This window comes from Homo sapiens, chromosome 2, assembly GCF_000001405.40.
Source record: "Homo sapiens chromosome 2, GRCh38.p14 Primary Assembly".
In the NCBI taxonomy this organism is placed as follows: domain Eukaryota; kingdom Metazoa; phylum Chordata; class Mammalia; order Primates; family Hominidae; genus Homo; species Homo sapiens.
The window spans coordinates 178,087,047-178,108,986 of record NC_000002.12 but is presented as its reverse complement, the minus strand read 5'-3'; the positions used below and the strand labels follow the sequence as shown (position 1 = coordinate 178,108,986).

The window sequence follows — 21,940 nt, the reverse complement described above, 5'->3', positions numbered from 1 at the left end:
TGCAAATTTTTTATAGGTTTTAAAACTAAGACTTATTGGTGATCAATTAGTAGCTTTCAGATTGTTGTATATGAATATGATCCAGAGTTTCCATTTGACCCATCTGTAAGGCTACTGTCTACTGATAACGTAGGCAATTACTTAGTCTGACCTGTGGCAGGCACTCAAGAAATGGTAGTCTCCTTCTTGAGTTTGCATGCCTTTGAGTTTGAGAATAATATCTAACACCTGATTTTTTTTTTCACAGTATGCCTGCTCCTTTTGATTCAACTTGATGACATACATCTTTTAAATGTGTAGATCACAGGACAAAATTCATAGATACCACTTAGAATAGTTTCATTAAAGCATCTGGTGACTGTGGCTATTTAAATTAAAATTACTTAAAATTACCTAAAATTAAAATGAATTATAATGAAAATAATTAAAAATTCATTTCTTCAGTTGAATTAGCCAGTTTCCGACAGCTCAAGAGCTATCCACAGCTACTGGACAGCGGGCACGCAGAGCCAAGCACTGCACAGCAAGTACAAGGCTTTAAGCCTCTGCGAGAGGTGAGATCCCACGGGATCTGGGGGCCAATCAGCAGTGGGACCGGGTCCCGGCTTGCCATTGGCTGGCGATCACTGGTCGCGCGCGTCCGGCTGCGCTTGCAGCCCAGGGCGTGAGGTGCTCTTTCTGGATCGCCAGCCTCGAAGTTGAGGCGTGGACTCTGGCCAGGTGGCTGTTCCAGGTGACTGCTGGGAGCGGGGGCAAAGGGAGGAACCGCTGGCCGTTTTTAATGCCAATATTAAAAAGTGTTTCATTAGCATTTCTCTTTTTATGAAAAATAAGACATAGCAATGGTATGTACCCACCTATTCCTCTTTAAGCACTCTCAGTTGGGTAAAAAGTTGTAAGCATCTGCAGTGTTACAGATATTGTGTTCAACACAGGGTTGCCAAGTCACCCTTAAAAAGTAATTGTTGGCTTGGCATGGTGGCTTACGCCTCTAATCCCAGCATTTTGGGAAGCCGTGGCAGGCGGATCACGAGGTCAGGAGTTCAAGACCAGCCTGACCAACATGGTGAAACCCCGTCTCTACTAAAAATACAAAAATTATCCAGGCATAGTGGTGCATGCCTGTAATCCTAGCTACTCAGGAGGCTGAGGCAGGAGAATCACTTGAACCCGGGAAGCGGAGGTTGCAGTGAGCCGAGATCACACCACGGCACTCCGGCCTGGGCGACAGAGTGAGACTCCGTCTCAAAAAAAAAAAAAAAAAAGAAAAAAAAAGGAATTGTTAAACCTATAAGATTATAGATTGAATATTAATTCTTCTCCACTGCTCACCAATCTGTGACCGTAAACAAGTCACTTAATTTCTGTTTGCCTCGTTTTCTACATCTATAAAAATAGAGATGTTAATGGTATCCATCTTACAGGGCTGTTGTGAGAACTAAATGAGTTAATAATATATAAAGTGCTTAGAATATGCCTGTCACATACTAAGCACATACAAATGTTTGCTACTGTTACTCTATTTAATGTTGAAATTACTTCATTCTTGGAAGAATGACCATTTTCATACTAGATGCCACATCTTTGCCTATTTCAGTGAGATATTTCTTTTGAAATATGAAATGCTGATAGAGTGCCAAATGATTATAGGACAAAATGAATTCTTTTCATATTCTTCCTGTCCTTCTTAAGATATTCTATCCCTTGCTATCCTGCTCTTCCCTTCCTGCTATTACTGAATCTGTTGGTTTTAATGCACTTGGAAGAGGGTCATAGGTATTTGCACTGGCAGTATTCGTCTATGATTAGAGAGGGCAGAAGTAAACGTTTTAATTGTGATTAATGCTGGTAGTTTTAACAGTTATAATGGAAATATGTTACACGTGACTTTAATGTGAAATCTGTAGTTTATGAGTAAGGACAGTTTTTTGTTTGTTTTTAAATGTCTGGTTTCCTGAATTACTAGCAACATTTACTTAGTATAAAAATCAATATGATTTTTCTTTTCCTTTTTTTTTTTTTTTTTTTTGAGAGAGTCTTGCTTTGTCGCCCAGGCTGGAGTGCAGTGACACGATCTCGGCTCACTGCAACCTTCGCTTCCCGGGTTCAAGTGATTCTCTCACCTCAGCCTCCTGAGTAGGTGGGACTACAGGCATGCACCACCACACCCGGCTAATTTTTGTATTTTTAGTAGAGACAAGGTTTCACCATGTTGGCCAGGCTGGTCTCGAACTCCTGACCTCAGGTGATCCAACCACCTCGGCCTCCCAAAGTGCTGGGATTACAGGTGTGAGCTACCATGCCCAGCCTCAATCTGATTTTTCTGCTTTGTATAAAAATTGGAAATAAAGATTATCTAGTTAGTGCTTAGATGACTTTTTTATGATACAAGCTTTATGGTTATGGTGAATGTATTTTGTGAAAAGGCCAAAAATGTGCTTTTGTGAGTGAAGTTTTATCCTCTATGGTCTGTGCTCAAAGGCTCACTGAATTCTGAACCTATTTAGGTAATTAATAGAACTGATAATTGAATGCAGTACTCTGAGTGATGTTTGAAGTTTTAAAGTAAGCTTCTCTTGGATAAAGTAAGTTTTCTTACCCGGCTTTCCATGAAACCTGAACTATTGGTTAATAGCTTAGTTGTTTTTGGATACTGCCTAAAGAAAACTATCTTCCCTTTACTTGGATTGTTGACACTGTTATGGGTTTCCACATAGATTTAAAGAAGTTAGGGAGAGCTGGTTTTGCAGGTTGTTGTGTATAAAGCATTGGCCTTTCTTGGAGCAGTAACTAAGAATGTTTGTGTTATTCTGCCAATATTGAAGAATACAGATTGTTTAACCACAGTATGTTAAACAATTTATGAATTGTAGTTAAACAATAGGTTTCTTCAATATTGGCAGAATAACACAAACGTTTTCTGTTTCTATTGATAGATCAATATGTGCTTAGGACTCTACTCTCAAAGAATTTGGTATTTTCATGATGTCTGTAGTAGTAATTCTTTGTGTTCAAATCCATCCCAAACCCCATCTCCCTTGCACTCATTCTTCACAGAACACAAAAACAGAAAAATAGAACCCAGACAGCATATTCCTTACTATATTAAAGTACACTTTTTTTTTTTTGGACAGAAACCGCAAGTGTTTATTGCAGAAATCTGGCCAAGGTCCCAGTTGGCTGGGCAGGTGAGATAGGGAGGGGTGGAGGAAGTGATCTGGCCCAGGGGCTCAGAGCTGTGAGGTGATATTGGGTGCCAGGCTGCAGGTGAGACCTATGCCATCAGGTTCCACATTCAGGGCCTTCATTATGCCATCCTGTACCACCATGGAGAACCTCCTGAGACATCGATAAAGTACAATTTTTTGATAGTTTGAACTTATTTTAATTTTTACATCATTTTAGATGGAGGAGGCATTTATTTAGTTATAGAATTTTTAACAGTCTCAACCAAAATATCTTTGTAAAAAATTTATTTTATATGTCTACCATCATACAGTAAGGTTTTTGTTTTTGTTTTTGTTTTTTGAGAGGGAGTCTCTCTCTGTCACCCAGGCTGGAGTGCAGTGGCGCAATCTCAGCTTACTGCAACCTCCGCCTCCCAGGTTCAAGCAATTCTCTGCTTCAACCTCCCGAGTAGCTGGGATTACAGGCGTCCGCCACCACACCCGGCTAATTTTTGTATTTTTAGTAGAGATGGGGTTTCACCATCTTGGCCGGGCTGATCTCGAACTCCTGACCTTGTGATTTGCCCGCCTTGGCCTCCCAAAGTGCTGGGATTACAGACATGAGCCACCGCACCCAACCCAGTAGGGTCTTTACTACTTAAAACTGTGTATTTTCCACTACATTAGTATTAAATGCATACTATTGCTGACTGAATTCAATAATGTTATTTCTGATTGCTTTCAGATAATGCTTGATCTAATCTGGTATCTATAGCTAAGAATGTAAAGTAAATGAGAAATTATGTTACATACAGGTTTCTATGGCTGCATTCTTTTCTGTATAATTTTTATTTTTACAGTTTGATTATTGTAGACATATAAATACTCATAGTAATATCATAGTTAAACACCTTTCCTATTTGTTCTATTCTTATTTTTAAATAAGGGGTTGCAAAATTAGACCTATATGTTTTACATCATCTTTTGCACATGCACTTTTTAGAAATGAAAAGGAATATAATTGACCTGGATAAATTAATATAATTCTTTGAAGGCTGAAGTAAAACCCGTTTGATACCAATAGCAGTTTCTGAAGTAGCTATGGCTAGAAACTTAAAATAAGCCTAATTAATGAGATGATTGTCTTTATGAAATTGGATGTTATAATATATCTGTGTTTTTGAGCACTCATACATTAAAGCTTGCATGCTTTAAAGGATATGTTTTTGTTTAACATCATCAGCATTCACTTCAGTCAAAATGATGGAATTCTTTTTTCTCCCCGGCTTTGAAAATCTAATATATATATTTTTTTGGTTTGTGGTTTTAATGTTCCATTGCAGAGCAACATGGGAGATGCTGAAGCAGGCAAGAAGACCTTTATTCAGAAATGTGCTCAGTGCCACACAGTGGAAAAAGGTGAAAATCACAAGACTGGTCCAAATCTCTGGGGCCTCTTTGGCTGAAAAACAGGAAAAGCACCAGGATTTTCTTATACAGAGGCAAACAAAAACAAAGGTAAAAACTAGCAGTTGTGGGAGAGAACCAGATACACTGTAGGAAAGAATAAAGCATATGATTTGGCATTATAATAATTTCCTAATTTGCAGCGTTAAAAATGGACCACTCTTTACATATTACTGAAATATGGATTTATATCATAAGACCTGCATTTGGATAACTGATCATCCTTTTAATCAGAAGAATTAAGAATCTTGTATGGCATAGGTTTTTGCCTATACAGGGTATTTGATTTTAGGTAATACATTTTTCTTGAAAAAGTATAAGCTAGATTTTTAAAAAATCATATTTTAGTGGTATAATGGCAGTAGTGATTCTATTTGTAGTATTGATTTTAGCAGAGTGGGAGAAATACTATATAGTTTGAAGCGTATATTCAGCATGTTTTTTTGTTTGTGGGAAGAGGGTAAAGTGAGACAGTATCTTAGGGTTAAGATCGAAGTGGTTGGAAAAGACTACACTATCTTTGCAAAGCAATTTGTCATTCCTGGATTAATCATATGGAGATTTATATGTGTACATCTATCTATCTATCTATCTGTCTAAGAATGGAAATTATAATATGATAATCCTGTTAAATATATATATGGTTTTATATATATATATCAGCTTTTTTGAGATTATATATATATATCACCTTTTTTCAAAATAGGGTATAACTCTATTTGAAACTTTTCTTGGGGCCTAGCATATCTTATAGGTTGGCATTTCAAGTCACTACTATTTGAAAAGGATTTTATTTTATTTTTTATTTCTTTTTATTATTTTTATTGAAGTGAAATTTATATAACATAATTAGACATTTTAAAGTGTACAATTCCGTAGCATTTAGTGCATTCATAATGCTGTAAAATCACCGCCTTTCCCTATTTTCAAAACTTTTTTATCACTCCAGAACAACTGCATCCATTAGGTAATCACTCTGCATTCCCCCTTAACCCTATTCCCTGGCAACCACTAATCTGCATTCTGTCTCTTTGGATTTGCCTATTGGATCATATAAAAGGAATCATATAATATGTGACCCTTTGTGTCTGACTTCTTTCACTTAGCATAATGTTTTCAAGGCCCATCTAAATTGTAGCATGTATCAGTACTTCATTCCTTCCCCCCCCACTGGAAATGTATATTTAACAACAACAACAACAAAATTACAACAAACAACCTGGAATACAACAGGTGGTACTGAGAAACTAAGTCTAATAATTTTTTATGGCAATCAACACTTCTTGTGATGCTTTTCATTCCTTTTTATGGGTGAAATTCTAGTTATGACCTCTAGCTACATAATTCCAATCTCTGACTTTGTTATTACATGACCCCTGTGCATCTCTGTCTTTACATGACCATTTTCTCATAATGACACCAATCATATTCATAAGGACACCAATCATATTGGATTAAGGGCTCATCCTACACCAATATGACCTCATCTCAATTAATCACATCTGCAATGACTCTATTTCCAGACAAACTCATATTCTGAGTTACCAGGGGTTAGGACCTCAACATATCTTTATTTGGGGGAGACTCATAATAAAGGACTACTTTTACATATAAAATAAATACATAATTGGCCAAACATGGTGGCACACACATGTAATCCCAACACTTTGGGAGGCTGAGGTGGGAGGATTACTTGAGGCCAGGAGGATTACTTGATCTGTAAGACCAGCCTGGGCAATGTAGTAAGACCCTGTCTCTACAAAAAATAAATTAGCTGATGGCTGGGCATGGTGGCTTATGCCTGTAATCCCTGTACTTTGGGAAGCCAAGGCAGGTGGATCACCTGAGGTCAGGAGTTCAAGACCAGCTTGGCCAATATGGTGAAACCCCATCTCTAAAAAAAAAAAAAAAAAAAAAAAAAAAACTTAGACCAGGCATGGTGGCTTACGCCTGTAATCCCAGCACTTTGGGAGGCCGAGGTTGGCAGATCACGAGGTCAGGAGTTCAAGACCAGCCTGGCCAACAGAGTGAAACCCCGTCTCTACTAAAAATACAAAAATCAGCCAGGCATGGTGGTGCACGCTTGCAGTCCCAGCTACTTGGGAGGCTGAGGCAGGAGAATCGCTTGAACCCAGGAGGCAGAGGTTGTGATGAGCCAAGATCATGCCACTGCACTCCAGCTGGGGCAACAGAGCAAGACTTTGTCTCAAAAAAAAAAAAAATTAGACAGATGTGGTGGCATATTCCTCTAGTCCTAGTTACTCAGGAGGCTGATGCAGGAGGATGCCTTGAGCCCAGGAGGTTAAGGCTGCAGTGACCCATAATCTCACAGCTGCACTCCCGCCTGGGTGACAGAGTGAGACCCTGTCTCAAAAAAACAAAAAAAAGAAATTAAGTAAATAAATTTATAAATACATAATTGATAAAGTACTTATAATAAAAGTACATTGAATAAAATTTAATATTTGTCAAGTCAGTAGTATTTTATCATCTTTTAAAATATCAGCATATTTATTATTAACACAATATCATTGTATTTGGGAAGTGCAAAAATGCTGGTACTAGGTACTGGTAATAATTTGGTCTTTGTCCTGGGTTCCTGGCAAGGAACCTCTAAAACCTTGGAATTTCTAGAGTGACCGGAGTATGTTTGTTATTATAGTTGGCCCCTGGGACCAAGACCTGAGTTTATGTTAATAAGATGAATTGCGGTGAACTTCCAGATAGTTTCAGAATGGGTGCTGACCAAACTGCAAGGACCAATCAGGTGATTTCAGAATTAAGGCTTTGAGCTAGATGAGTAAGTCTGACCTCTGGGAACAGAAAGGGGGTTGGAGGTTGAGTTCAGTCACATGGCCAGTGATTCACACAGTCATGCCTGTGTATTGAAGCCCCAATTAAAAACTTTAGACACTTTCAACTGGAACTCTGGTTGAGCTTCCTACTTGGTGAACACATCCATGTGTTGGGAGAGTGATGAGACCTGATTCCACAGATAAATGACTCAGAAGCTTTTCATTTGGGACCCTCCCAGCTGTCACCCTATGGGTCTCTTCCCCTGACTAGTCCTGATTTGTATCCTTTATAATACAACTATAATTGTAAATATAGTTCTTTCCTGATTTCTGTGAGTTGTTCTAGTAATAAATTATTGAAGTCGATGAGGTTGTGGGAACCCCCAAATTTGTAGCCAGTTAGTTGGAAGTTTGGGTGGCTTGGGGGCCGCTGAGCTTGCAGCTGGTGTCTGAAGCAAAGGTACTGTGGAGTCTGCCCTTACTGTGGGCAGGTAGTATTAAACTTGTATTGCAGTTATTGCAATAGGATTTTCAGTTGATAGACTACTGAATAGATCAGTTTTTAACTCATCTTCATTGTTAGCATTTATATAGCTTTTTAATTTTTAAAGTATTTCTCTATAGAGTCATTTTATTATTATCCTGTTATAAGCACAATTTTTGAACTTCTAATTTGTAGAGCAGACTTAAGCCAATGTTGTTCCTCTAACTGCCAGTAGTTTGAGGAATTTATTCCTCAATAGCGTTGATTTGAAATAATATTAAAACTTATACCAAATATGCCTTTTATTATGTAGATTGTTGCCAATGGTTGAAAGCTGTATAAGGCTTGGGTTTAATATTATTTAAGAATTAGAAATAAAATTTCCCTAAATTGGATTATTTAGGTAATATTTGTGACTGATTTGAGGATATAATATTATTGTTTGTTAGTTCTGCTGATGAGATAAGAACAATAAGTAGCTTACTATGTTAATTGCACTAGGATTTTAAAGTAAGTTTACTTAAAACTAAACAAGGATTTAAAAAATATGTTAGCACAGCTTGGCTAAAAACAGACTTCAATAATTAAGAAGAACCATGAAGTCAGTAGTTCAGTGTTAATAAAAATTGTGGTGCACTGTCAACCATATTTTATTTTTTTGTGTATGACCTTTCTGTTGCAAATAATTACACTATTTTTATTTTCAGAAGAATACAGAAATTCTCAATTTTAAAGATTCTTTGTCCCATATGACTTGTATAGAATATAGTTTTACAAAACTCATGATTATAATAATCTTATGTGGTTTTAAAAATTGTAGCAAAATATATATAACATAAAATTTACCATTTTAACCATCTTAACTTACAATTCTGTGTCATTTTAAGCACACACTGTTTTGCAACCATAACCACCATCCATTTCCAGAACATTTTCATTTTCTCAAACTGAAACTCTGTACCCATTGAATAGCCCCTGGCGACTGACATTCTGCTTTTTGTCTGTGAATTTGACTGCCCTAGGTATATAATACAAGTGGAATCAAATCATACAGTATTGGTCCTTTTGTGAGTGGCTTATTTCACTTAGCATAATGTCTTCAAGGTTCATTTATGTTATAACGTGTTGAAATTTCTATCTTTTTAAAGACTGAATAATATTCTATTATATGTAGATAGCATTTTGTTTATCTATTTATCCGTTGATAGAGACTTGGGTTGCTTCCACCTTTTGGCTCTTGTGACTAATGCTGCTATGCACATGGGTGTACAAATATCTGTCGAGTCCGTGTTTTCATTCTTTTGGGTATATACCCAGAAGTGGAATTGCTGAATCCCATGATAATTCTGTGTCTAATTTTTTGAGGAACAGCCATATCATTTTTCACAGTGGTTGCACCATTTTATGTTTCCACAATTCCATTGTGAATTAGAATACACAAGGGTTCTAATTTCTCCAACTTCTCAACCAACACTTATTTTCTGTTTTTGTGATAACAGCCATCCTAATGGGTTTGAAGTGCTATCTCATGTGGTTTTGGTTTTCATTTCCCTAATGATTGGTGATGTTGAACCATATATACTGTGTTTTTCTTTGTTCTTCAATTTTTTTTTTTTTTTTTTTTTTTCTCTTGAGATGGAGTCTCACTCACTCTGTCACCCAGGCTGGAGTACAGTGTTGTGATCTCGGCTCACTGCTACCACTGCATCCCAGGTTCAAGCTATTTTCCTGCCTCAGCCTCTGAAGTAGCTGGGATTACAGGCGTGTGCCACCACATGCGGCTAATTTTTTTTGCTGTTGTTGTATTTTTAGTAGAGACGGGGTTTCACCATGTTGGCCAGGCTGATCTCGAAATCCTGGCCTCAAGTGATCTGCCCGCCTCGGCCTCCCAAAGTGCTGGGATTACAGGCGTGGGCCACTGTTCCTGGCCGTACTGTATTTTTAAAAACATCAGTAAATGGATAAAATTTTTCTTTTGAGAATAATGTCTTTATAGTGCATTGAAGCACCACTTGCATTTTTGGGCAATGATAATTGAAGCGGGTTTTAGAAACAAATTGTTTGAATTAATTCATGATTTTTCCAGGATTCTATGCTAATAAATGGTGGAACTAGGATACAAACCCTGGTTTTCTTGGGCCTTTAAAGAAATCGTATCATGAGATTAGCATATTAGCTAAACTATCTTATTAGGGATTTAAGTCTTTATCTTTTGCTTATTGTCATGTCAAATTTTGTTAGTGGATGCAGTAGGAACACATTGAATCATAAATGTATTAATAACTTTAAAAATATTTTGAAATGCTTACATTATACAAAAATCCAAATAGTTCAAAAGAAATATTTACCATTATGTGTGGTAAGGAAATTATGTATGTTCACTTTTCCTGACATTCTCCTATTCCTGTCCCTCTACCAACTAAATTTATTTGGCAATATTATTCTTTTTGACAATTTTGATAGTCATATTTATACTCTAAAGAATATCCATGTGCCTCTACAATTAGATTGATCTGCATTAAGCAACATCTGCTTATCCTCCTCTATGAAGGATGAGAAAGCCAAAATATTTATACAATCTCCCATTTTTCATAGTCTCCAACTCTTACCACTTATGTATGTTGTTATTTCTACTCTGAGATGCCATATATCATTTACACCCCATGTAACCATAATTACCACAGTTGTTTTTAATGTTTGTTCTACATTTAAATAGTACCAGTGAGTGTTCCCAGATTTTACCATATTATCTTCATTTATCTTTTGGTTAGTGGATGGTTTTCTATTCATTGTAACAATAAGAAAGTATTACCAGAACTATATTGTCCCAGTTTTTGGATGTTTAAATACAGCTGGGGATTGTTATTACACTTGAATGATAATTTGGTTGTAAAATGATTGGGAGACATTTTAATTGCTCAGGATTTTATATGCTTTATGTTGAATTATTGTTTGGAGAAATATGAAACCAGCCTGTTGCCTTTCCATTATGAGTTACTTGGTTTTTTATTTTATTTTTTCCCCCTATGTTTCAGTAAAAGTCTTACTGAGAGTTAGCAAATTTGCTAGGCTATATCTAGGCCTTGATTGATCAATTTCACTATCTCCTGGGACATGTTGTATTCTTCCAATTGATAGATTCAGTGCCTTTAGTTTTGAAAGTTTTCTTGATTTATATGTTGTAATAGTTTTACTCTATTTCATTTGTTTTTTAAAAATCTTACTTGGGCCACCGGTTGTGCAGATCTTGTATCTCCTTTGTCTGAGTATCTTCTGTATCTGTCATTTGACCTTAGAGCTGATAGCTAGAGTGATCATTTAAAACTATTTTTTCCATTTCATTTTTATCAGTATTTTGAAGTCTGATTGTGCTAGCAGCAGCATTGTCCATTTTTGCTGTCATTTATATGTTTCTGTTTTATCATTTTCTACTAGCTTCTTTGTAGCTCTATGATATGGTTTGGCTCTGTGTCCCCATCCAAATCTCATCTCAAATTATAATCCCCATAATCCTCACATGTCGAGGGAGGGACCGGGTGGGAGGTGATTGGATCATGGGGGTGGTTTCCCTCATGCTGTTCTTGTTACAGTCTTTGAGTTCTCACGAGATCTGATGGTTTTATGAGTGTTTGGAATTTCCTCCTTCACACTTCTCTCTCCTGCCACCTTGTGAAGAAGGTACCTTGCTTCCCCTTCATCTTTCTCCATGATTATGAGTTTCCTGAGGCCTCCAAGCCATGTGGAACTGTGAGTCAATTAAACCTCTTTCCTTTATAAATTACCTAGTCTCGGGTATTTCTTTATAGCAGTGTGAATGGACTAGTATAGTAAATTGGTACCAGGGGTTTGGGGCACTGCTATAAAGATACTTAAAAATGTGTAAGAGATGGCCGAGCACGGTGGCTCACACCTGTAATCCCAGCACTTTGGGAGGCCAAGGCAGGTGGATCATGAGGTCAGGAGATCAAGACCATCCTGGCTAACACGGTGAAACCCCGTCTCTACTAAAAATACAAAAAATTAGTCGGGTGTGGTGGCATGTGCCTATAGTCCCAGCTACTCAGGAGGCTGAGGCAGGAGAATTGCTTGAACCCCAGAGGCAGAGGTTGCAATGAGTTGCGATTGCACCACTGCACTACAGCCTAGGTGACAGAGCAAGACTCTGTCTTAAAAAAAAAACAAAATGTGCCACTCCAGTTTCAGCTATGGCTAACTGGGTAATGGGCAGATGTTGGAACAATTTGGAGGGCTCAGAAGACAGGAAGATATGAGAAAGTTGGGAGCTTCCTAGAAACTTGTTGAATGGTTTTGACCAAAATGCTGACAGTGATGTGGACAATGAAGTTCAGGCTGAGGTGGTCTCAGATGAAAATGAGGAACTTATCAGGAACTGCAGTAAATGTCACTGTTGCTATGCGTTAGCAAAGAGACTGGCGGCATTTTGCCCCTGTCCTAGAGATCTATGGGACTTCGAACTTGAGAGAGATGATTTAGGGTATCTGGTAGAAGACATTTCTAAGCAGCAAAGCGTTCAAGAGGTGACAGAGCATAAAAGTTTGGAAAATTTGCAGCCCGACCATGTGGCAGAAAAGAAAAACGTGGGCCAGGCGCAGTGGCTCAGGCCTGTAATCCCAGCACTTTGGGAGGCCGAGGCGGGCGGATCATGAGGTCAGGAGATCGAGACCATCCTGGCTAACACAGTGAAACCCTGCCTCTAGTAAAAATACAAAAAAAAAAAAAAAATTAGCTGGGCTTGATGGTGGGTGCCTGTACTCCTAGCTACTCTGGAGGCTGAGGCGGGAGAATGGCGTGAACCCAGGAGGCGGGGCTTGCGGTGAGCTGAGATCATGCCACTGCACTCCAGCCTGGGCGACAGAGCGAGACTCCATCTCAAAAAAAAAAAAGAAAAGAAAAGAAAAACCTGTTTTCTGGGGAGAAATTCAAGCTGGCTACAGAAATTTCTGTAAGTAACAAGGAGTTAATTGCCAAGACAATGTTAAGCACCAAGACAATGGGGAAAATGTCTCCAGGGCATGTCAGAAACCTTCAAGGCAGCTCCTCCAATTGCAGGCCTGAGACCTAGGTGGGAAAAATGGTTTTGTGGGCCAAGCCCAGGGCCCCACTGCTGCTCTGTGCTCTGTGCATCCTTGGGATTTGGTGCCCTGCTTCCCAGCCACTCCAGTTCCAACTATGGCTAAAAGGGGCCAAGGTACAGCTCAGGTCGTTGCTTCAGAGGGTGCAAGCCCCAAGCCTGGAAAGCTTCTATGTGGTGTGGGGCCTGCAGGTACACAGAAGTCAAGAATTGAGGTTTGGGAACCTCTGCCTAGATTTCACAGGATGTATAGAAACACCTGGATGTCCAGGCAGAAGTCTGCTCTAGAGGCAGAGTCTTCATGGAGAACCTCTGCTAGGGCAGTGTGAAAGGGAAATGTGGGTTGGAGCCCCATCACAGAGTCCCTACTGGGGCATTGCCTAATGGAGCTATGAGAAGGGGGCCACCATTCTCCAGACCCCAGAATGGTAGATCCACCAACAGCTTGCATGTGTGCCTGTTTTGCCACAGACACTCAATGCCAGCCTGTGAAAGCAGCCAGGAGCAGGGCTGTACCCTGCAAAGCCACAGGGGTGGAGCTGCCCAAGACCATGGGAACCCACCTCTTGCATCAGCGTGACCCAGATGTGAGACATGAAGTCAAAGGAGATCATTTTGGAGCTTTAAGATTTGACTGCCGTGCTGGATTTCGGACTTGCACGGGGCCTGTAGCCCCTTTGTTTTGGCCAATTTCTCCCATTTGGAATGGGTATATGCACCCATTGTTTGTATCCCCATTATATCTAGGAAGTAAATAACTTGCTTTAGATTTTACAGGCTCATAGGAGGAAGGGACTCACCTTATCTCAGGTGAGACTTTTGACTATGGACTTTTGAGTTAATGCTGAAATGAGTTGAGACTTTGGGGGACTGTTGAGAAGGCATGGTTGGTTTTGCAACGTAAAAATGATGTTAGATTTGGAAGGGGTCAGGGGTGGAATGATATGGTTTGGCTCTGTGTCCCCACCCAAATCTCATCTCGAATTGCAATCCCCATAATCTCCACGTGTGGAGGGAGGGACCTGGTGGGAGGTGATTGGATCATGGGGGCAGTTTCCCCCATGCTGTTCTCATGATAGTGAGTTCTCACAATATCTGATGGTTTTATAAGTGTTTGGAAATTCCTCCTTTTCATGCTTCTCTTTCCTGCTGCCTTATGAAGAAGGTGCTTGCTTCCTCTTCACCTTCCACCATCATGGTAAGTTTCTTGAGGCCGTCTCAGCTATGTGGAATTGTGAGGCAATTAAACCTCTTTCCTTTATAAATTACCCAGTCTTGGGTATTTCTTTACATCAGTGTGAAAATAGACTAGAACACTCTACTTTGAGCCCTTAATTCATAAAGGCCTTTTTTGAATCCATGGAAATATGGCTATGATTTTCATCTGCCTATTTATTAATACATAATTTCAGATGTGTATTTTTCATTTAACATTTCGTTTTTGTTTTTCGAGACAGGCTGTCACTCTGTTGCCCAGGCTGGAGTGCAGTGGTGCGATCTCAGCTCATTGCAGCCTTGACATCCTGGACTCAACTGATCATCCCGCCTCAGCCTCCTGAGTAGCTGGGACCCCGGAAGTGCACCACCATGCCCGGCCATTTTTTTTTCTATTTTTTGTAGAGATGGGGTTTCACCACGTCACCAAGGCTGGTCTTGAACTCCTGAGCTCAAGCGATCCACCCGCCTCAGGCTCCCTAAGTGCTGGGATTGCAGGTGTGAGCCACCATGCCTGGCCTAACTTTTGTTTTTCATATTCCTTTCTGCTGTGTGTATGTATGTGGTGTGTGTGTGTTTGCGTGTGTACTGTGTGTATTGTGTGTATTGTGTGTATTTTCAGTACTTTCTTGTGCTGGTTATTTTTTATTATTACCCATCTTCTGATGAAGATAATCTTTTTGGACTAGTTATTTGCAGAAGGAAAATAAGGATGATGGTCTGAGTTTTCCAGTTAGTTTTGATGTCTTCCTTATGCATAGTTATATTAGCGATAACATATACCTGAGCGTTTATGGGTTTATGTTTTGGTGGGGCTGTTATTTGGCTCTTTACTTCAGCTGGCAAAGACTGGCAGGCCTGGGGTTATGTTACCTTTGCAGTTTCTCTTGTACCTTATAAGTTAGAGTGCTTCTTTCAAAGAGGACATATTTATGTTTTCTTCATTCATCCTGGCTCCCCTGGTCCTCCATGGTGTAAAACTGAATTTAAGAAGACTTTCATGGCCAGCTGATATATCCTATTCTTTTTGAGCTAAACAAAGGCTTATGCCTTTGCCTTTCAGAGTGTGTCACATACTTTGGAGAGATGCTTAGTGAAAGGTGTCATTTCACTCTGGTCTAGGTTTCATGTCCTTGGTAGACTTCTAATTATAACAATTATAACAGGTGCTTCCTGAAAGGTTTTATCAAAAGTGAAGGTAGCAGTTCTGTTTCTCTTTCTCCATGTTCTTTTTGACTGGTTTTAGAAAGAAAAGAAAGGAACCTTTCTCTATTGTCTTAAAACTGGATTTTTGAAATCATGGATTTTGATGGAGATCTGGATAGAGGCAGCTTGGTATGATAGGTAGAAAAAACATGCAAATATGAGTTAGTAGTCATAAATTCTTGACTGTAGGTAGCTTTGTAATCTTAGGACAAGCTTTGGACCATCATTTACTAATCTACAAAATTAGAGATTGGATTGCATGATCTCTAAGACCTTTTCTAGAAGGAACTCACTCTGATTCTTGGAGGATGAGGAACTGCTTAAGCATAACATGTCTTTGGTGGTAGTTCATTGGTTTACCATAGAAGACCCTAAACAGTATGCGACTGTTTCTACAGTATGGATTTCTACAGAGAAGCCAAGGAGTGGAGACACATTTTGGAAATTTCTTATAGGTCAGAATCTATAAGTCTCAGTTAAAATAGCCTCCCTACTGAGTCCAAGATTAATCTTTTGTTCACATATGTGGGTCAGATCAGAAAGTGAGCCCTACAAATGTAACTACACAAACTTAAAACTTACCTTCACCTTTGTAGGTATTGTATGGGGAGAAGAGACTCTGATGGAATATTTGGAGAACCCAAAGAAATATATCCCTGGGACTGTACGTGGTGGCTCACACCTGTAATCCCAGCACCTTGGAGGCCGAGGAGGGCGGATCACCTGAGGTTAGGAGTTCAAGACCAGCCTGGCTAACATGGTGAAACCCCATCTCTACTAAAAATACAAAAAAATTGCTAGGCATGTTGGTGCATGCCTGTAATCCCAGCTACTTGGGAGGCTGAGGCAGGAGAATGGCTTGAACCTGGGAGGCGGAGGTTGCAGTGAGCTGAGATCGCGCCATTGCACTCCAGCTTGGGCAACAAGAGCAAAACTCCATCTCAAAAAAAAAAAAAAGAAAGAAATATATCCCTGGAACTAACATGACCTTTTCTGGTCTTAAAAAGAAGAGTGAGAGAGAAGATCTTATTCAGTATTTGAAATGGGCAACATCTTCACTTCGGAAATATGTTATAAGCCAAAATTTCTAATTTCAAAAATTGCACGTTTAGAGAAGTCATATTTGATCATTTTTGATCAGCCTGTAGTAAGTTTAACATTTTAAAATAAAGGTTGATATTTTTTATTGTGTGTGATCTACTGATCAGGAGCCCTTCAGATTCTGAACTCGCTTTTGTTGGCATGCTAAGGAAGGGGATAGGTCAGGATGGAGGAGGAGAAGGAAGGAAACTAAAATCTGTTGTGGTTCAGTAGTCTCTACATGCACAAAATAGTTTGTAAGTCTAACAACTACTGTTGATGATGGCTTCCACATACTTATTTCTCTGTAATTTAAATGTAAATATAGAAGACATTAGCTTTAATTTTCATTAACTTGTGGTTGGTTATGTGTTTGCTTTTTATTATAAACAATACTTAAAGCAACTTTTTAAAAAGTAGGGAAAATAAGGTCACATAGTTGATCTTACCTTAGGAATGTTTTTGGGAAAAAAGAGCCAATGTTGACCTTGGGTGACTTAAAATAAAAGAGAGAAGGAGAAAAGCATGTCCAATGTTGTTAAATATTTGTATCATATAACATGTAATCTTTCTGCATTAAGATACTCTGCTAATCCTGAGTAATATGAAGGTAAATTTGCAGGGAAGGATAGCAGGGACACTGAGAGAGAGGGAGAAAAAAACCCTAAAACCTTCATCATAAATGTGGAAAGAGCCCCCCCACCCACTTACAGCAAATATAAGAGACGCATGGTGGGGCAGGTCTACAGCAGGGCCTGGGTGGAAGGGAACAGTGGCTTTGTGTAGTGTGAGGCAGCCCCTGCAACAGCTGTGCAGTCCTGCAAGTGTTCTATCACCCAAATGATATGGCCCAATGCAAGAAGGAGAAGCTGAGTCTGTACCAAAGGGATGGGTAGTGGACTAGGTCAGGAATCATTATGGGTGAGGATAAGACATCTGTTACCTCATTTACACTTCACAACAATAGCCCTGTGATGTGGGTTTTACCTTCTGTGTTGACACCTAGAGAGATCTGGCACCAGAACCAAAACTTGGATCTTCTGCTCCAATTCCTTGCGGCTTTTCACCATTATCATAGGGATAATATGTTAGCTAGTTAAGATATTAGTGGGCTAGGTGCAGTGGCTCACGCCTGTAATCCCAGCACTTTGGGAGGCCGAGGTGCACAGATCGCTTGAGCCCAGGAATTGGAGATCAGCCTGGTCAACATGGTGAAACCCTATCTCTGCAAAAAATACAAAAATTAGGTGTCCATGATGGTACGTGCCTGTAGTCCCAGCAACTCGGGAGGCTGTGGCAGGAGAATTGCTTGAGCCTGGGAGGTCAAGGCTGCAGTGATCTGTGATTATGCCACTACACTCAGCTTGAGCAACAGAGTGAGATCCTGTCTCAAAATAAAATAAAATAAAATAAAAAAGATATTAGCATATACCTTCTATGAAGATGTCCTAACAGAGTTCTCAGAGTGAGGGGAACATATTGACAATGATTTCCAGACGGTTCCATTAAATCTGCTAAGTGCCCAGGCTTACTCTTAATGCATCTGGTAAGTCGGGGAGAATGCGCTCCTCATGGAGCCCAGTGCCAGTATTGTGTAGGAAAGAGTGCCTGTGGGGGCCCAGGGAGGGCTTCAGAAAAAGCTGAGCTTGTTATTCTCTCCCTGAAGGAATTATCTGATAAGGGCAGAGACATCTGTAGGGACTGTAAGAGTGTCCTAAGGATGTTGCCAGTTTCAGAGCTCAGTTAGGTTTGCAAATATGTAGAATTAGGTGATGTACCTACCTCCTATCCTAATTGGCATGAGGCCAGAGAGCTCTCTGAGAAAGCACTTGAACTCCATCCACATTTATAATTACAGTTTGGATTTATACAACCCTGATGGATGAACTTGGTGGCACCGATAAAAGCCATATTGCAGGGGGAAGTAAAAGGCCCTCAGGTTTGGAGCTTGACTTATGGGAAGTAGAAAGAAGATAGTATGAGGAGAGTTGAGATGAAAAAAGGCAGGCGGGTAGAAATGGAGAAATATTAAGTAGATTTCCATTAAAAAAATTGTAGTTAAAAATAATGTGTTCAGTGTTGCTTTATGTTTACCTTAGAGCAAAATAAGTATCTCTTTGCCGATAGCAATGTTTCTTGTAAAGAAATAAAAGTTGGAAGAAAGTTTGCAAATGAATGCAATAAGTAAAATACTTTATTGTGATAGGTGTTATTATTGAATATATATTATTTCTGAGAGGCTTAAATCCATTTTAGGATGAATTTACATAAAGGGTCTTTTGGATGTGGTGGGGATTTTATACTGTGCCAATTTAGCTAAGCTGGAACTGCATTTTCCAAATTATTCTGTATATAGTCCTCAGTTAGGGCTGGTCACAAGAGAAATTTGTCTGAGATTCAAAAGGGGTCAGGCAGAAACTTTTGCATTTGGAAGGTCAGTTCAGGGCCCCAGTTACAAATTATACTTGTAACTAATCTGTTGGCTCACCTTTGTGTGGTGGGACAACAGCTCTTCCAACTCCTGCCACATATTCTTTTATAGCTTCTCTAAGTCTTGGGCCAGGACTACGTGGAGCTTCGAGGGGAAAGGGCCTAGGTTTTTCAGGCCATTCCTATCATCCAGCTTTGAAATGGGGAGAAACAGATAACACAGGTACCAGTTTACCCTCACAGGCTTGTCATTGCTTTCTGTGTTTGGCTTGCAGCTTTCTTTCCAAGTACTTGCTCTGCTGATCTACAACAACCTTAGGCCCATCACCAGATGCAGAGCCATTAACAAAGATCGTTTGACCAGACTTGAGTCAGGCTCCTCTAAACTGTCTTCTCGACTAGGCCCTGACCTTGGTCTCTGTCTTTGATCCACTTAGTGCAGTTTTAGCAAGAACTGTGCTAAACTAATTTAGCAAAAATCTCCCACCCTTGGTATCTGATAAAATTCCTCACACCTCAGCTTTGATATCTAATCCTCTGGCCTGCCTTCAGCAAGTATCCTGTTAAGTTGGTTTGGCCAGAATTGTCTCTTACACCTGGCGTTTCCTCTTAGTGTTTTTCCGTCCACTGAGCTTACACCCTGCTCCTTAGCTATAAGCTCCACTTGACCTTGTTGTATTTATAGTTGAGCTCAATCTTTCTCCCTACTGCAAAACTCTCATTGCAGTAGTCTCTTCTTCAGTAACATCTTTCTTCCTGTCTTTAACAAGTGTTGGAATAATTTTTTTCTCTAACACCAACAACCTCCCATAGTCGTCTTCACTAGTTCTGCTTTGTGGTCTTACTGACTTTCCCCTGATCATTTAACTGTCCCTTTCTCGACCTTTATCTCCTCAACTTCTCCCCAAATTGTGGAAGGCCTAATTCCTATAATAAATTCCTTATTCACATCAATCGTAGTGGTACTGCTTATCTGCTGAAACCCTAACTGATACGGGCACCATATCTGTGCAACGCCTACTTTGTGAAAGATGAGAACCTCTAAGGAAATTACTCTTTGAGTGCACTTCCATCTAAATTAGGTGTACCCTGACAGAGCAGAGGAAATAATAATTAACTTTTACAACTCTTTACAGTTGTCAAGTTGTTAAAGTCTGGAAATGTCTCCTACACTTGAATTAAATATCCAGTAGGAAAAGGATTCATGTTAATCAGAGAACAGATTTCTATCATGATGAACTCTGAAAAAGTAAGTATTTTTGTTTTGTAGTACCGTTAACAGGAACCAGGAGAATTTAGTGACCAGGAAATGTTATGGTGATAGCATACCCACAAAAATATATTTAAAAATATGTAGACCATTGGATGATTATATAGGAACACTGATCACTTTTAGCATAGGCAATTCTAATTCATGTCTTCATAAGGATCTAAAAGGACAAAGTGTTGTTTCATTTAATTAAAGTGAAAATGTGAGATTAGTTAACTTGGCAATTATTTGTGTGTTACAGAAGGTACAGAGAGAACTCTTCAGAAAGCAGTGGAACATTGTTAGATCCTGCATTCTTAAAATTTTTTTAGACTAGTGAGTGAAGTACTTCCCAGATGTAAACCTCTAGTCAGTAGGTCTTGTGGGAAACAACATATCATTTATTTTTCAAGAAGAATAATTTTTTGAATTGAACCCTTGTGTCCTACAATATGTTGTGTATAATACAGAATAATTTTGAGCATTTATGTTTTGCTTATTCTTCCTCCTCATCACATTCTTCTGAAATATTAACATAGATTAGAATTTAGAATCAAATTGTCTTCTTTGCATTTTTCACTTTGTGATCAATATGATCAACTTGAGTTTGAAATTACAATTTCAGGCATTTCCTCAGCTTGAATTTCTCATTCCCCACAAAGTGGGGCTTCATGTAAACACATAATACTGTGAGAGTAAGGCAAGTCAGAGTGGGGCGCCATCATGTGAGTCAGGGGTTGCATGAAAGACAGAGGTGGGGAGCTTCAGTGCAGAAAAGGACAGTATTTCCTCATCTATAAAACGTGAGGGGTTGGGCCAGGTCTCTCATTTTCGAATATATTTTATTTGCAGAACCACTTGTTTAAATGCAGCCCTCCTCCAAAAAGAAAAAAACAAAAAAAAAACTCAGTGTTTAAAACAGAACCACTGTGATTGAGGAGGAGTGGGACACCTTCCCTTCTCCTCCATATCCTTCCTCCCTACTCCTAAGTATAAAACTACTTTCAAATAAAGTGTACAAAGGTTAGAAAATGTTTGAAAACTTACAGTTCCCACACTCTCATTTTATTTTATTTTTGTTTTTTAAAATTTGTATAAATTTTGTTACATGCATAGATTACATAGTGGTGAAGTCAGAGCTTTAGGGTATCCATCACCCAAATAATGTACACTGTACCCATTAAGTAATCTCTCATCATCCACCTTCTTTTCTCCTCCTCCCTTCCAAGTCTCCTTTGTCTGTCATTTCACAGTCTATGCCCATGTGAATACATTATTTAGCTCCTACTTTTAAGTGACAGCATGAGGTTTTTGTCTTTCTGTGTCTTGTTTCATTAAAGTTAATTGCCTCCAGTTTTATCCATGTTGCTGCACAAGATATGATTTTTTTGTGTGGCTGAAAAATATTCAATTGTGTATATATACGACATTTTCTTTTTTTTTTTTTTGAGTTGGAGTCTTGCTCTAGTCATCCAGGGTGGAGTGTAATGGCGCGATCTTGGCTCACTGCAACCTCTGCCTCCCAGGTTCAAGCAATTCTCCTGCCTCAGCCTCCTGAGTAGCTGGGATTACAGGCACCTGCCACCACACCTGGCTAATTTTTGTATTTTTAGTAGAGACGGGGTTTCACCATGTTGGTCAGGCTGTTCTCTTTGGCCAGGCTGGTTTCGAACTCCTGATCTTGTGATCTGCCCACCTCAGCCTCCCAAAGTGCTGGGATTACAGGTGTGAGCCACAGCGCCCAGCTGACATTTT

General features: G+C 39.3%; 1 protein-coding gene and 1 pseudogene across 1 annotated transcript in view; both read left to right on the top strand.

Annotated features, from left to right (window-relative positions):
• Positions 648-21,940, top strand: part of PDE11A (phosphodiesterase 11A) — a 485,096-nt gene continuing 463,803 nt past the window's right edge. The window contains exons 1-2 of the mRNA NM_001077197.2: positions 648-733; positions 4,511-4,685. Coding sequence (NP_001070665.1) covers positions 4,524-4,685 — 162 coding nt within the window. The 5' untranslated portion in view covers positions 648-733; positions 4,511-4,523. The remainder of the gene's footprint in view (positions 734-4,510; positions 4,686-21,940) is intronic.
• Positions 4,517-16,487, top strand: CYCTP (cytochrome c, testis, pseudogene; annotated as a pseudogene).